Source organism: Homo sapiens, chromosome 15, assembly GCF_000001405.40.
Source record: "Homo sapiens chromosome 15, GRCh38.p14 Primary Assembly".
NCBI classification, from domain to species: domain Eukaryota; kingdom Metazoa; phylum Chordata; class Mammalia; order Primates; family Hominidae; genus Homo; species Homo sapiens.
The window spans coordinates 51953346-51968319 of NC_000015.10; the positions used below are offsets into that span (position 1 = coordinate 51953346).

Genomic DNA, 14974 nt, shown 5'->3' on the forward strand with positions numbered 1-14974 from the left:
GGCACAGTGGCCCACATGTGTAATCCCAGCACTTTGGGACACCAAGGCAGGTGGATCACGAGGTCAGGAGTTTGAGACAAGGCTGGTCAACATGGTGAAACCCCATCTCTGGTAAAAATACAAAAATCAGCTAGGCATGGAGGCACACCCCTGTAGTCCCAGCCTTCGGGAGGCTGAGACAGGATAACTGCTTGAACCCGGGAAGTGGAGGTTGCAGTGAGCCAAGATCGTGCCACTGCACTCCAGCCTGGGCGACAGGACAAGACTCCATCTCAAGGAAAAAAAAAAACAAAACAAAACAGGTGATTCAACTGCTGCTCTCTCTTTTTACACAGAATTTGGAAGGAACGAAAATAAGAAGTCATAATGAGAAAAACTGATGGACTACAAAGAACTAACACATGCTGGGATGTTTACCAGGCTCTACTACATTCCCAGTGAAGGGCAATTTTTTTAAAATGTCAATTTGTGGCTGGGCACGGTGGTTGACGCCTGTAATCCCAGCACTTGGGAGATGGGAGGATCGCTTGAGCCCAGGAGTTCAAGACCAGCCTAAGCAACATATGGAGAACTGTGTCTATGAAATTTTTTCTTTTTTTTTTTTTTGAGACGGCATCTAGTTCTGTTGCCCAGGCTGGAGTGCAGTGGCGCGATCTCGGCTTACTGCAACCTCCGCCTCCTGGGTTCAAGGAATTCTCTGCCTCAGCCTCCTGAGTAGCTGGGATTACAGGCGTCCGCCATCACACCCAGCTAATTTTTAGTAAAGATGGGGTTTCACCATCTTGGCCAGGCTGGTCTTGAACTCCTGACCTCGTGATCCACCCACCTCGGCCTCCCAAAGTGCTGGGATTACAGGCGTGAGCCACCGTGCCTGGCTCTTTTTTTTTTTTAATAATCCATGCAGGGTGGTGCACACCAAGTAGTCCCAGCTACTTGGGAGATGGGAGGATCACTTAGGACTAGGAGTCTGAGGCTCCACTGAGCTGTTATCATGTCATTACACTCCAACATGGGCAACAGAGTGAGACCCCATTTCTAAAACTAATAATAAATTTAAAACTAAAAAGTATTTCAAAACTTGATCCCTCTGACCCGTTCTGGGTATGTCAATACCCTTCAGGCGTTTTGTGCTCACCTTCCATCTGACCACTTGACTATCCGAGCATTGCTTTCTTTAATTTCATTTCCTTCTTCATCTCGGCGTATCCTCCATCTTATAGTATTTTCTACCTGTTTCACAACACAAGTACTTTAGAAAATTATAGTTTAAATGACTCTATGCATCTTGTTTTTCCTCAAGAGGCACATAATCACAGAATAAGCATACAGAGGTGACAGATGTATGTGTGGCAGGAGAATGAACAACACTGAAACCCTCTTTAATCACCTAGAGAGGTTGGATAAATTAAAAGCAGGGAAAAAAATATGCTTAAGTGAATTTCTGAGCTCCTAGAATCATAATCATAGAGAAAGCTTAGAGCATTTGAGCAGATGGCAGATACTAAATGTACACTAACCCCGAGATGTGTTAAGACAGTAAGAATTACAAGGGTCAGGCGATAAAACTTGAGTCCATGTGAGGCAGAAATTTTTTTTTTTTTTTTTTTTTGAGACGGAGTCTTGCTCTGTCGTCCAGGCTGGAGTGCAGTGGCGCAGTCTTGGCTCACTGCAAGCTCCGCCTCCCGGGTTCACGCCATTCTCCTGCCTCCGCCTTCTCAGTAGCTGGGATTACAGGCGCCCACCTCCAAGCCCGGCTAATTTTTTCATATTTTTTAGTAGAGACAGGGTTTCACCGTGTTAGCCAGGATGGTCTCGATCTCCTGACCTCATAATCCGCCCGCCTGGGCCTCCCAAAGTGCTGGGATTACAGGCGTGAGCCACCACGCCCGGCCGAGGAAGAAATTTTGAAGTGAAACCCCTGTATAAAGCAAGTTCTCTCACAGAGCTAAAAACTCCATAAAAATGAGACCAAAAACTCTGCCTATTGGCACAGAGAGATAAACTTCCCATATATGAATAAGGATAAATAAGTGCCCTATGAAAATGAAAACCCCAGATTTCAATAGGTTTAGAGCCTAACTATCTTACCTGCATGGTGGGGAAACACCAGAGTTGGCAAATGAAAACCACTGTTACTGAAAGTAAAGTCAGTGGGATCTCCAGGAAAACATGGCATACTAAACGCATGCAGTTTATCACTGCTGCCTCCTGGAAACCCACTAAAATGACAATGAAGAGTAAAAACAGGACATACAAGGATAGAAAGAATGAGAATGAAGCTGGCAACAGACAGAAGCCAACAATGTGAAAACTGCCAATGCCAAGACCATGCTTCCCTCTGCCTGTTCCCCCAGTGTCAATCCTAAACACAGCTGCTCCCAGTCCCACGGAGATCGTCTGGATCTCCACTCCTTTAGCTGCAAATGTCTGTGCAGCTGGGTCCTAATGATTCCCCCTTCCAGTTTTTCCCCTTTCCCTATTTATTCCTCACAAATAGCTATAAAGTGTGCTGATTGAATAACTCCATCATATTTATGAATTAAACATGATGTCATACCTGAAATTTGTTTCAGAATAGTCTGGGGAAGCTGGGGTGGGGAATATGTAGATGACAAAAGATTGTTAACTCGACAACTGTTGAAGTGGGTCATGGGCACATGAAAGAGTTCATTATATTGTTTTTAATACATTGGTGTATGTTTGAAATTTTCAGATTGAAAACAAAACAATCTGTCACTATTCCTGTCTTCCATCTCATACAATAGGTTGGCCACATATAAATACACAAATATGCCGGGTGCAGGGCTCACACCTGTAATCCCAGCACTTTGGGAGGCCGAGGCAGGCAGATCACCTGAGGTCAGGAGTTCAAGACCTACCTGGCCAACACAGTGAAACCCCATCTCTGCTAAAAATATACAAAAATTACCCGGGCATGGTGGCATGTGCCTGTAATTCCAGCTACTCGGGAGGCTGAGGCTGGAGAATTGCTTGAACCCGGGAGGCGGGGGTTGCAGTGAGCTGAGATTGCGCCACTGCATTCCAGCCTGGGCGACGACAGAGCAAGACTCCATCTCAAAAAAAAAAAAAAAAAAACCACAAATAGGCCATTATTAATTGAGAAGCCGTTCTAAAAAATGCTTTCTATTATATAAAGTGATTCAAATAGTAATGATGCTATAATAGGACACATTGCTAGGTCTTAACCTATCAGGATGAAGGACACATAATAGTATTTCTGAAGACAGGGGACCTCAGAGAGGTACATAAGCTGTACCTGGTTCCCTGGTTCCTTGTTCTTAAAGAATTAACTACACCATGCTTTAAGACTGGTCAGCGTAGTCTTAAACATCACTCAAGAAAATAAGGGTCCAGGGTTATTTCCTATCACACACCAAGGTTTTAAGACAACAGTTTATGTTAAACACCAACATTTTGTAGTCTGATGCACTGAAATTTTAGGGTAAAATACATATTTATAAATTTTTTTTTGGGGGGGAGACAGGGTCTCGCTGTGCTGCACAGGCTGGAGTGCAATGGCACAATCACAGCTCACTGCAGCCTCAAACTCCTGGGCTCAAGCAATCCTCCCGCCTCAGCCTCCTGGAGTAGCTGTGACTATGGGCATGCGCCATCTCTGCTGGCTAATTTTTTTTTATTTTTAGTAGAGACAAGGTCTTGCTCTGTTGCTCAGGCTGGTCTGAAACTCCTGGCCAGTCTTCTCACCTCGGCCTCCCAAGGTACTGGAATTACAGATATGCGGCACCATGCCCGGCCTTTGAAGTCTGACACCCATACTAGAATCTGGTATCACATGGTCTAAAAATATAATAGATATATTGATACTAGCTGTAGCATCATGACAGAAAGTAAGAAAAAGGAAAAAGACAAAATTAAATAAATTGATAAAAAGTGAATAAGGAACTACTATATTAGTTTATATGTATATGACAGGAAACAATGAAAAGTAGTAGAATTAAAGCCAGAGGCACTAAAACAACCATGAAAAATTGATACTGCTAAGCCTAAATCAATACATCCATGTGTCCCAAAGAAATAATATTAACAGATGGGCTAATAAACAGATGAGTAGATGGGTGGTGGAGGGAGGACAGGAAAAAAAAATAGTGTAAGCAGTATATCTGTTGACTGTGTGATCTTGAACAAATTATTAGCACCTGTTTATCTCAGTTTTCTTATTTGATTTGCATTTCCATTAAGAGGAGTAGTGAAGTCTCACTGAAAAGCTTTTGGATAGAAACCATCTTATATCAAGGTTATTTAGGTAGTTGTTAATATACCACATTGAAGAGATGGTACTATTAAAAATATAAAAATTCAGTGCCTAAAAAATGCCAGACTATCCCTTTCTAACAATTTAATAAGGTACCAAGGCCAGGCGCGGTGGCTCACACCTGTAATCCCAGCTCTTTGGGAGGCCGAGGTGGGTGGATCACCTGAGGTCAGGAGTTCGAGACCAACCTGGCCAACATCGTGAAACCCTGTCTCTACTAAAAATACAAAAATTAGCTGGGCATGGTGGTGCATGCCTGTAGTCTCAGCTACTTGGGAGGCTGAGGCAGGAGAATCACTTGAACCCAGGAGGCAGAGGTTGCAGTGAGCTGAGATCATGCCACTGCCCTCCAGCGTGGGCGACACAGCGATGCTCCTTCTCAAAAAAAAATATATAAATACCCACTAGAAAATAAGAAATTTACAGGAAATCCTTCGGATTTAAGAATTGAAAATGCATAATTCCAGTTTCAGTATCATGCATTCAACCACCTCTTGTTCCCTTGTGCAACTCAATTCTAAAATGTCTACTTGGCCAAGTGCAGTAGCAATCATGCCTGTAATCCCAGCAATTTGGGAGGTCAAGGCGGGAGGATCACTTGAGCTCAGAAGTTCAAGATCAACCTGGGCAACACAGCAAGACCTCATATCTACAGAAAAAAAAAAAAGGCTGGGCATGGTGGCATGTTTTCTGTAGTCCCAGCTACTCAGGAGGCTGAGATGGGAAGATCACTTGAACCCAGGAAATTGAGGCTGCCAAGAGCTGGGTTTGTGCCGCTGTACTCCATCCTGAACAACAGAGCAAGACCGTGTCTCAAAATAAAAAGATGAAACTTCTGCTGAACCTACATCCTCCTTACTTAAAAGATTAGAGGCCCTCCTTTGATAGCGTGACCAGATGGTATAAGGTATCAAAGAGAAGCATTAATGGGAATTTAGTACAATAAAATTCTTTCCTAATAGTCAACAAAAGCAATCAAAAGAACACAGCCATATAGTGAAGTGTTAGGTAAAAAAATCACTTTCAAAAGCTCAAGTTTCAAGTTAGTATCTCCAGGTTTTACTTTATAAAAGAAAAAAAAGGAAAAAGCATGAAATGGTACCTTTAATTTTAACCTGGTTCTACCTTCTTCATCCAGCATTTCTTCATCTTCAAATTCATCTTCATAATACTGAGGATCAAAAGGTCTACAAATTGTTTTCCAAATAAACTATTAATCATATTTTATAAAGAATATTACTGCTATGTAATAACATCTCTATTAATAAACACCATTATATCAAAAAATCATAATATAATTTTAAAAATCATAATGATCAATATCTTCATGCTTAACTTCAAGGAAGTAGTAATTGTACTTTTTTCTTTTTTTTTTTTTTTGAGACCGAGCTTTGCTCTTGTTGCCCAGGCTGGAGTGCAATGGCACGATCTCGGCTCACCACAACCTCCGCCTCCCAGGTTCAAGCGATTCTCCTGCCTCAGCCTCCCGAGTAGCTGGGATTACAGGAATGCGCCACCATGCCTGGCTAATTTTGTATTTTTAGTAGAGACAGGGTGTTTCTCCATGTTGGTCAGGCTGGTCTCAGACTCCTGACCTCAGGTGATCCGCCCTCCTCGGCCTCCCAAAGTGCTGGGATTATAGGTGTGAACCACCACACCCGGCCAGTAATTTTACTTCTTAAAATTTGTTGTTAATACATATTGCTTGAAATAAAGTACAAGCAAGGGTAAATATTCAAAATATCCTTTCTTCTTCTTATGTAACTCTGCCAAAGAATAGGCAACATATGCTCTAGCTTTCCACATCATTGTGCCTGTGGAAAAAAAATTTTAAAAGCACAAGAGCTCGAGTAAACTTAGTAAATAATACCCATCAAACACTGTCTAATTGTCCAAAACCATTACCTTTTCTAGACCAACAATAGCTGCTACAGTGGACACTGGCATTTCTCTAGCAAATTTCATCGCTTTCAATTTCAGCCTTTTCAGGGTTGTACTAATTAAAAAAATACCTTGAACACTTGTGGTGTCTGTTAATTCATAAGAAAGTATCAAACTGCTAAAAACAATCATAGCATTAAAAGCCTCCCTTACTAATACATATTTTTTCTATCTCAGGATGTGCTTGACTAATTTTTTCAGAGATACACGATCAATTTTCCGTTTTTGTGATTTGTCAACTCAATGCGAAATAAGAAAAATAAACATTCTATGTATTTCTACTCAACATCCTGAAAAAATTTTAATTGATTTCCTTACCTGGGCTCTACACTGAGAAAGTTGGGCAGTTTAACAAAATATAAGTCGTTTCCTAAATCAGTGTTTACTTTGGGTATTTCTACTTCTATTCTGGTCTCAGGAATTGGCTCCTCTTCCTGTTGATCCTGAGGCAATCCATTTTCATCCTAGTGAAAGAATCGGAAGTTTGGAGCTTGACAGGACCTTAGAAATGGCTTCCTTCAACCTCCACACTTTAATTACTCTGGGGTGCAAGAAACATAATTAGATATCACTTTAGGACTAAAGAAGTCCCCAGTCCCCATCCCAACCCACCTACACACAAAATGGGAAACGATCAATTTGGATACCTCAGTACAAAAAACTATCTCCTTTATGATAAATCTGTCTTCCAAATACTCAACAAAAGTGTGAAATTAACACTTCAATAGGAAGTCACTCTATCAATTAAAACCAGAGAAGATTATCAACATAGCAGACACTTCTTGGCATGAGCAAGAAAAACATTCAAGTCAATGGTTCTCAAATCACAAGTCCTCACAGTTCAGTCCCCTAAGGCATGACACCAACCTCATGTTTGGCAGTTATTTCCACTCCCCCTTATAACCAAGAGTTCCCTACATAATGAAGAAAGTCATCTGTTCATGGTATTTTCATACTAGAATTCAGTTATCAACTTCCTTTCCTGGAATAAGGGAGACTCTTCACCTTTGAAACTTTATGCCTGGCCTTGAATAAGTTCATGTTACTAACTGACTTACAACAGGCTGTCCTGGAGTAGGTGGTTTGTCTTCTCCATCACTCCCTGAAGAGATATCATCTGCACCTCCAAATAAATCCATGGTTCCACTATTATCTTCAATGCAGAAGGAAAAAGGCATTAGTGTTACTATCTGTAACTAAGGTTCTTCACAGCTGATCACTTCAACACATTCCCAAGGTTTCTGGACCAGCATCAGAAAACCACCAAAAACATAATGCTGAGCCTGGCTCTCAAAGACCCAACCAGAGAGTGTGGGGAGAGGGAAGGGGGCAAATCTAGTGAAAGGCAAGCTGCACAGGAGGCACTTATTTCTCCTTTCATTTTCACCATCCTTGTTCTCCCACTTTCCTTTATTCCCCAGGAGCCCAAATGTTTCCTACAGTCTAGATGCTCAAAGTTGGGGCTGAAGCACTCCACAGACACCCATTTTCCATAAGTCTATCCCAGATTCAAAATTACAGTCCAGGCATAGTGGTTCATGCCTGTAATCCCAGCACTTTGGGAGGCCAAGGCAGGTGGATCACTTAAGGTCAGGAGTTTGACACCAGCCTGACCAACATGGTGAAACCCCGTCTCTACTAAAAATACAAAAACTAGCTGGGCTTGGTGACAGGTGCCTGTAATCCCAGCTACTTGGGAGGCTGAGGCAGGAGAAAGGAAGCTGCCACACCTGGCGGTAGAACTCCTTTCATCCTTCCAACTTATAATACCAGGTGGTGGTGGTGGTGGTGGTGGTGGTGGTGGTGGTTGCGGTTGTTGTTGTTGTTTTGAGACAGAGTCTCACTGTTGTTGCTCAGGCTGGACTGCAGTGGTGCGACCTTGGCTTACTGCAACCTCTGCCTCCCGAGCACAAGCGATTCTCGTGCCTCAGCCTCCCAAGTAGCTGGGACTACAGATGCACACCACCTCGCCCCGCTAATGTTTTGTATTTTTAGTACAGACAGGGCTTCACCATGTTGGCCAAGCTGGTCTTGAACTCCTGGCCTCAAGTGATCCACCCACCTTGGCCTCCCAAAGTGCTGGGATTACAGGCGTGAGCCACTGCACCCAGCCAACACTGGGTTTTTATGAGCTCTTCATCTAACTCACAGCTCAAAGAATCAGTTTCTTCATCTAAGTCAAGAACTTAGGAACAAAACACCGAGACTGTCATTATTCAAAGTGAAGAATGGACATTGTAACCTCCATCCCAATAAGAAGGTCAGCCCCCTAATAATGAATTCACTCTAACTATAAACAGACTGGGCGCAGTGATTCACGCCTGTAATCCCAGCACTTCGGGAGGCTGAGGTGGGTGGAACACTTGAGATCAGGAGTTCGAGACCAACCTGGCCAACATAGTGAAACCCCACCTCTACTAAAAATACAAAAAATTTAGCCAGGCATGGTGGTACGTTCCTGTAATTCCAGCTACCAGGAGGCTGAGGGAGGAGAATTGCTTGAACCCAGGAGGCAGCAGTTGCAATAAGCTGAGCTTGCACCACTGCACTCCAGCGTGGGTGACAGAGCAAGACTCTGTCTCTTAAAAAAAAAAAAAAAAACTACAAAGAGGCAGGTTCTTCTTCAACTAATTAAGCATGAGCAGCTTCTCATAGCTATATAACTTCTCTGAGTACACTGAGCGTATCCACACTCTTATTCTGTGGGTCTGGCGATCTGGGGTAAACACACTCAGGGTTAGAAATGCACTACAGTTAAATACAGAAAGAGGTATGGAAATATACATATATATATAATAATAGGGATACCTTTTGGCACCTCAGTGTCACTATCCGCTTCTGAATCAGATGCAATCGCATTCTTGCGTTTCATTCGTAAAACTTCATCTTCACTATCACTGCCTCTTGCAGATTCTATAAGGGTAGAATTAGAAGTTCTGCATAATCAGTCGCATTAGTTGAATTTTGTGTTTTAAAAGCAATATTGGAGATAAACAAATTGTGATACAATGGACTACTACTCAGCAATAAAGAGGAATGAACTGCTGATACATGTAACCAATTGGATGAATCAAAAATGCTATATGCCAAGTTAAAGAGGCCAATCTGAAAGACTACATACTTACTGTATAACTCTATTTATATGACATTTCCAAAAAACCAAAAGTTTAGTGACAGAAAAGACCAGTAGGTGCCAGGGTTTAGGGGTAGCAGAAAGATACGACTCAAAAGGGATAGCATAAGGGAGTTTTTCAGTGTGACAGCGATTCTGCATCCTGAGTGTGGTGGTGGTTAGACAAATCTATAGATATGTTAACATGAATAGAGCTGTACATGCAGAACATGCCCCCCCCCCAAAAAATTAACTCTAGTGTGTGTTAATTTAAAAAACAGAATTCTTAAAATAAATACTGGTGCCAGTTGTGGTGGCTCATGCCTGTAATCCCAGCACTTTGAGAGGACGAGGTGGGTGGATCACTTGAGGTCAGGAATTCAAGACCAGCCTGGCCAACATGGTGAAACCCATCTCTACTACAAATACAAAAATTAGCCGGGTGTGGTAGCGTGCACCTGTAGTCCCAGCTACTTAGGAGGCTGAGGCAAGAGAATCATTTGAACCTGGGAGACTGATGGTGCAGTGAGCCAAGATCGCACCACTGCACTCCAGCCTGGGTGACAGAGCGAGACTGTCTCAAATAAATAAATATACTGGCTTTGCAAGTACAAAAACTTGGTAGAAATGAGAAAAGTAGCACTAAAACTTATCAAATTTACATAAGACAAATTTCAGGGAAAAAAAGGTAAAAAGATTAAAAAGGAACTGACAAATATATCATTATTTCTAGAAGGGCCAATTATTTACGTAAAAATGTCACAAAAATCAACAGAACCACTGTTGAACTAGTAAGAGATAAGCAGAATGACCAGCTACAAGGTTCCCTACTATGACCCTGCCCTTGACTTGGTCTTCTAGTATTTGGGATGTAGTACATGAGCCTTAAAGATTCTTTCTGGTAACAGTAAAAACAGCCCTACTTTCGGCCAGGCATGGTGGCTCTTGCCTGTAATCCCAGCACTTTGGGAGGCCAAGGTGGGCAGATCACCTGAGATCAGGAGTTCGAGACCGGCCAGGCCAACATGGGGAAACTTCCTCTCTACTACAAATACAAAAATTAGCTGGGTTTGGTGGTGCACACCTTTAATCCCAGCTACTCAGGAAGCTGAGGCAGAAGAATTGCTTGAACCCAGGAGGTGGAGATTGCAGTGAGCCAAGATGGTGCCACTGCACTCCAGCCTGGATGACAGAGACTCTGTCTCAAAAAAAAAAAAAAAAAAAAAATGAGTGGCCGGGCGCAGTGGCTCACGCCTGTAATCCCAGCACTTTGGGAGGCCGAAGCAGGCGGATCACGAGGTCAGGAGATCGAGACCATCCTGGCTAACACGGTGAAACCCTGTCTCTACTAAAAATACAAAAAATTAGCCGGGCGTGGTGGCGGGTGCCTGTAGTCCCAGCTACTCGGGAGGCTGAGGCAGGAGAATGGCGTGAACCCAGGAGGCGGAGCTTGCAGTGAGCTGAGATCATGCCACTACACTCCAGCCTGGGAGACAGAGCGAGACTCCGTCTCAAAAAAAAAAAAAGGATGAGTTCATGTCCTTTGCAGGGACATGAGGGACATGGATGAAGCTGGAAACCATCATTCTCAGCAAACTATCACAAGGACAGAAAACCAAACACCGCATGTTCTCACTCATAGGTGGGAACTGAGTAATGAAAACAGTTGGACACAGGGCAGGGAACATCACACACCGGGGCCTGTCATGGGGTGAGGGGCAGGGGGAGGGATAGCATTAGGAGAAATGCCTAATGTAAATGACGAGTTGATGGGTGCAGCACACCAACATGGCACATGTATACCTATGTAACAAACCTGCACGTTGTGCACATGTACCCTAGAACTTAAAGTGTTAAAAAAAAAAAAAAAACCTCTACTCTGAATTAGTTATTGAAAACTTACTGCAGTCCCATAGTCTACACAGATCTATATTCATCTCTGGAAATATGCTGCCCTCCTCTTCTAATAACACCAAGATGTGGTTTCTGAATCCTGTCCTGTGAGGTGTGTGTTAGATGCCCTCATATTTAAGCTAAGAAGATAGGATCAAAATATAATTAATATAATCAATCACCTATGGAAATGAAGCAATCCAGGTATTTCAGGAAGACTTCAACTTAATTAAGGTAACTTTTATATAATACAAAGAAATATGATCTCTAATTTTTTGTACATTCTATATGAAGAATGTGTTAACTTGAGCAGAATAGTCTAAATGGCAATGATAAAAGCAGGTCCAGGAACCAAAGTTCAGGTGTATGCCTCCTGTAGTCTTTAGGGAATGAGTGCTGTAACCCAAGCTCGTCTCTGTAGGGTGAGGATACACCCATCAATCTGTCTTGGCTCAGTAACACTGTCCATTGAGATCACCCAGCCATGTTTGCACTTTCTACATATTATACTCCCTGGGCAACCTCCTGATTATTATAATTTGCCATCCACGCTAGATTTGCCCCCGGGGAAACATATGGGGTGATAAGGGAGAAATAACTGATCCTCTTGAAACAATTTTGCAATTCAATTTTATACATTAATATCTTGTAAATTTGACTAGTTTGAGTAAACTCCTTAGAGCTTGACCATCTCTGGATGATCAAATTTTGGATCTCAAAAAGCTGAGCTGCAGCAATGGTGCCCACATCTCAGTACAGCTGCTCTGTGGGGACACTTCAATGGTATGGTTTTTTTCCCCAGGCTAATCTATTCTCTCACATGAGGCATGCTCTTCAGTTATCCACAGAAATGGAATCAACTTAACTCATTATCAGCTCTTCTTACACCATATCCCTCCCTCTAAGACTCAATTTTAAGTCCTCTTTAAATTGTTTTCCCCCAGACCTATCCATTAACAAATGGAAGGGAAAGGAGTAAGAAAGAATAAGTGGATTAGAAAGATTTAAAAGAAGCAAAATGTATTCTAGAGTTAGAAAAGTTTGAAAGGGAGGGGACAGAAGAGAAAAAACAGGGTAATAAAGATGGGAATAAAGACTAAATGGGTCCCTGCTGTATCTGAATGCTTCTTTCTGAGCCATTCTGGTTCTCATAAATGTATTACCTGATTTATGATCCTGTTCCTCTTCATCATCTGAATGCCTGTGTTCTTCATCTGAGGCCTGTGGCCTTTCATCATCAGAATTTTGCATTTTCTCTTCATCAGACAGCTGTGGTTGTTCTTCATCATCAGAATTCTGTTTCTCATCATCATTATCAGAAGCTACCGGCCGTTCATCATCAGAATTAGCCTTTTCCTCCTCAGATAGCTGTTGTCTCTCATCATCGGAAAGCTGAGGCCTCTCCTCATCATCTGTGTTCTGCATTTTCTCATCATCGTCAGAATTCTGCAGCTTATCTTCATCAGATCCTTGTGCCCTCTCCTCATCATCAGAATTTTGTATCTTTTCATCATCTGACTGGTCACTTTTATCTTCTCTGCCCCATTTTTCATCATCTGAATGTGCTTTTTCAGAACCTTCTGCTTCTGAATGATGGCTCCCTCCATCCGATCTATGACCTTCGTCTTCATCATCATTAGGGGCTTCTGATCCACTGTGCTGATCTACATCTGAGGGGTCATTGTCCTCATGGTCAGAACGCTCAGAAGCTTCTGATCTATTGTCTGATCTTTCAGAGTGATTATCACTACCACTATGATGTGAAGCTCCCTCGTCCTCACTGTCATCTCCAAACAGTTCCTTATTACTTGGTTGTCCTGAATCACCTCTTTCATCCTGATCACTTTCACTTCCAGAGGCATTACTGCCAGAGGCAGCATTCTCTTGATCAGAATCTGAGTCAGATCCAGAATCAGAATCTATGGGGTCATATAAACATAGGATAACATAAGCAAAAAAAGGCAGAGTAAGGCAGTCCCAAAGTCCATCCCAACATAAAAGCAATGAAGAAACTGGCAAAAACTGTTAGAATTAACATTCTAAGGCCGGGTGCAGTGGCTCACGCCTGTAATCCCAGCACTTTGGGAAGCCGAGGCAGGCAGATCACCTGAGGTCAGGAGTTCGAGACCAGCCTGACAAACATAGCGAAACCCTGTCTCTACTAAAAATACAAAATTTAGCCAGGCATGGTTGCACATGCCTGTAATCCCAGCTACTCAGGAGGCTGAGACAGGAGAATCACTTGAACCCGGGAGGCAGAAGTTGCAGTGAGCGGAGATCAAGCCACTGCACTCCAGCCTGGGCGACAGAGTGAGACTTTGTCTCAAAGAAAAAAAAGAAAAAGAAAAAGAAAAATATATTTACTAAAATCAAAGAGTCACTAGAGGGGCTCAACCAAAGATTTGAGCAGGAAAAAGAAAGAATCAGTAAACTTGAAGATACCTCAGTTCGACTGTCCAATCTGAGAAACAGAAAGAAAAAAGAATAAAGAGAAAGGAACGGAGTCTAGAAGATTTATGGGACACCTTAAGTTATACCAATGTATGCATAATGGAGTCTCAGAAGAAGAGAAATGAGCAGAAAAAGATTCTTAAATAATAGCTGAGGCCAGGCATGGTGGTTCACACCTGTAATCCCAGCACTTTGGGAGGCCAAGGCGGGCAGATCACTTGAGGTCAGGAGTTCGAGACCAGGCTGGCCAACATGGCAAAACCCCATCTCTACTAAAAATACAAAAGTTAGCCAGGTATGGTGGCGCAAGCCTGTAATCCCAGCTACTTGAGAGGCTGAAACAGGAAAATCGCTTGGATCCAGGAGGTGGAGGTTGCAGTGAGCCGAGACCACACCATTGCACTCTAGCCTGAGTGACAAAGCGAGACTCTGTCTCAAAAGAATAAATAAATGATAGCTGAAGAACTCCCAAATTTATGAAAAATATAGATCTACACATCCAACAAGTTCAACAAATGACAAGTAGGATAAACTTACAGAGGTTTACACCTAGAAACATTGTTATCAGACTGTCAAAGACAAAGAAACAATTCCAAAAGCGGGCAAAAGAGAAGCAGTTCATCCCATATGAGGAACGCTCAATAAGAGTAACAGCTGATTTTTCATCAGAAACCAAGGAATCCCAGAGCCATCCATAAGAGGACACATTCAAAGTGCTAAAAAGAAAGACTGTCAACCAAGAATTTTATATTCAGTAAAATTATGCTTCAAAAACTAAGACGATATGGAAGACAAAAGAAAACATAAATTGGACTTCCACAAAATGAAAAACTTTTGTGCAGCAAAGGACGTTATTAAGAAAGTAGGCCCGGCGCAGTGGCTCATGCCTGTAATCCCAACACTTTGGGAAGCCAAGGTGGCTGGATCACCTGAGGTCAGGAGTTTGAGATCAGCCTGGCCAACATGGTGAAACCCCATCTCTACTAAAAATACAAAAATTAGCCAGGCATGGTGGCTTACGCCTGTGAGCCCACTACTTGGGAGGCTGAGGCAGGACAATCGCTTGAACCCAGGAGATGGAGGTTGCAGTGAGCCAAGATCATAGCACTGCACTCCAGCCTGGGCAACAGACCAAGACTCCATCTCAAATAAATAAATAAATACATAATATTGCTAAGTTAAGTTCAAAACTGGTTAATGTCTTAGAGGACAATAAAATCTTTTGGCTGGGTGCGGTGGCTCATGCCTGTAATCTCAGCACTCTAGGAGCCCAAGGTGGGAAG

General features: G+C 42.6%; 1 protein-coding gene across 6 annotated transcripts in view; it reads right to left on the bottom strand.

The window, feature by feature from the left end:
• The window catches only part of LEO1 (LEO1 component of Paf1/RNA polymerase II complex), a 33754-nt gene that overhangs the window by 15321 nt on the left and 3459 nt on the right, over window positions 1-14974 (bottom strand). For 5 of the 6 annotated variants that reach the window (NM_001323904.2, NM_138792.4, NM_001426598.1 and 2 more), the window contains exons 2-7: window positions 12404-13159; window positions 9044-9148; window positions 7294-7388; window positions 6554-6699; window positions 5397-5481; window positions 1136-1230 (exon numbers count right to left, since the gene is read on the bottom strand). In NM_001323904.2, coding sequence (NP_001310833.1) covers window positions 1136-1230; window positions 5397-5481; window positions 6554-6699; window positions 7294-7388; window positions 9044-9148; window positions 12404-13159 — 1282 coding nt within the window. The remainder of the gene's footprint in view (window positions 1-1135; window positions 1231-5396; window positions 5482-6553; window positions 6700-7293; window positions 7389-9043; window positions 9149-12403; window positions 13160-14974) is intronic. The other variant, NM_001286430.2, reaches the window with a different exon arrangement.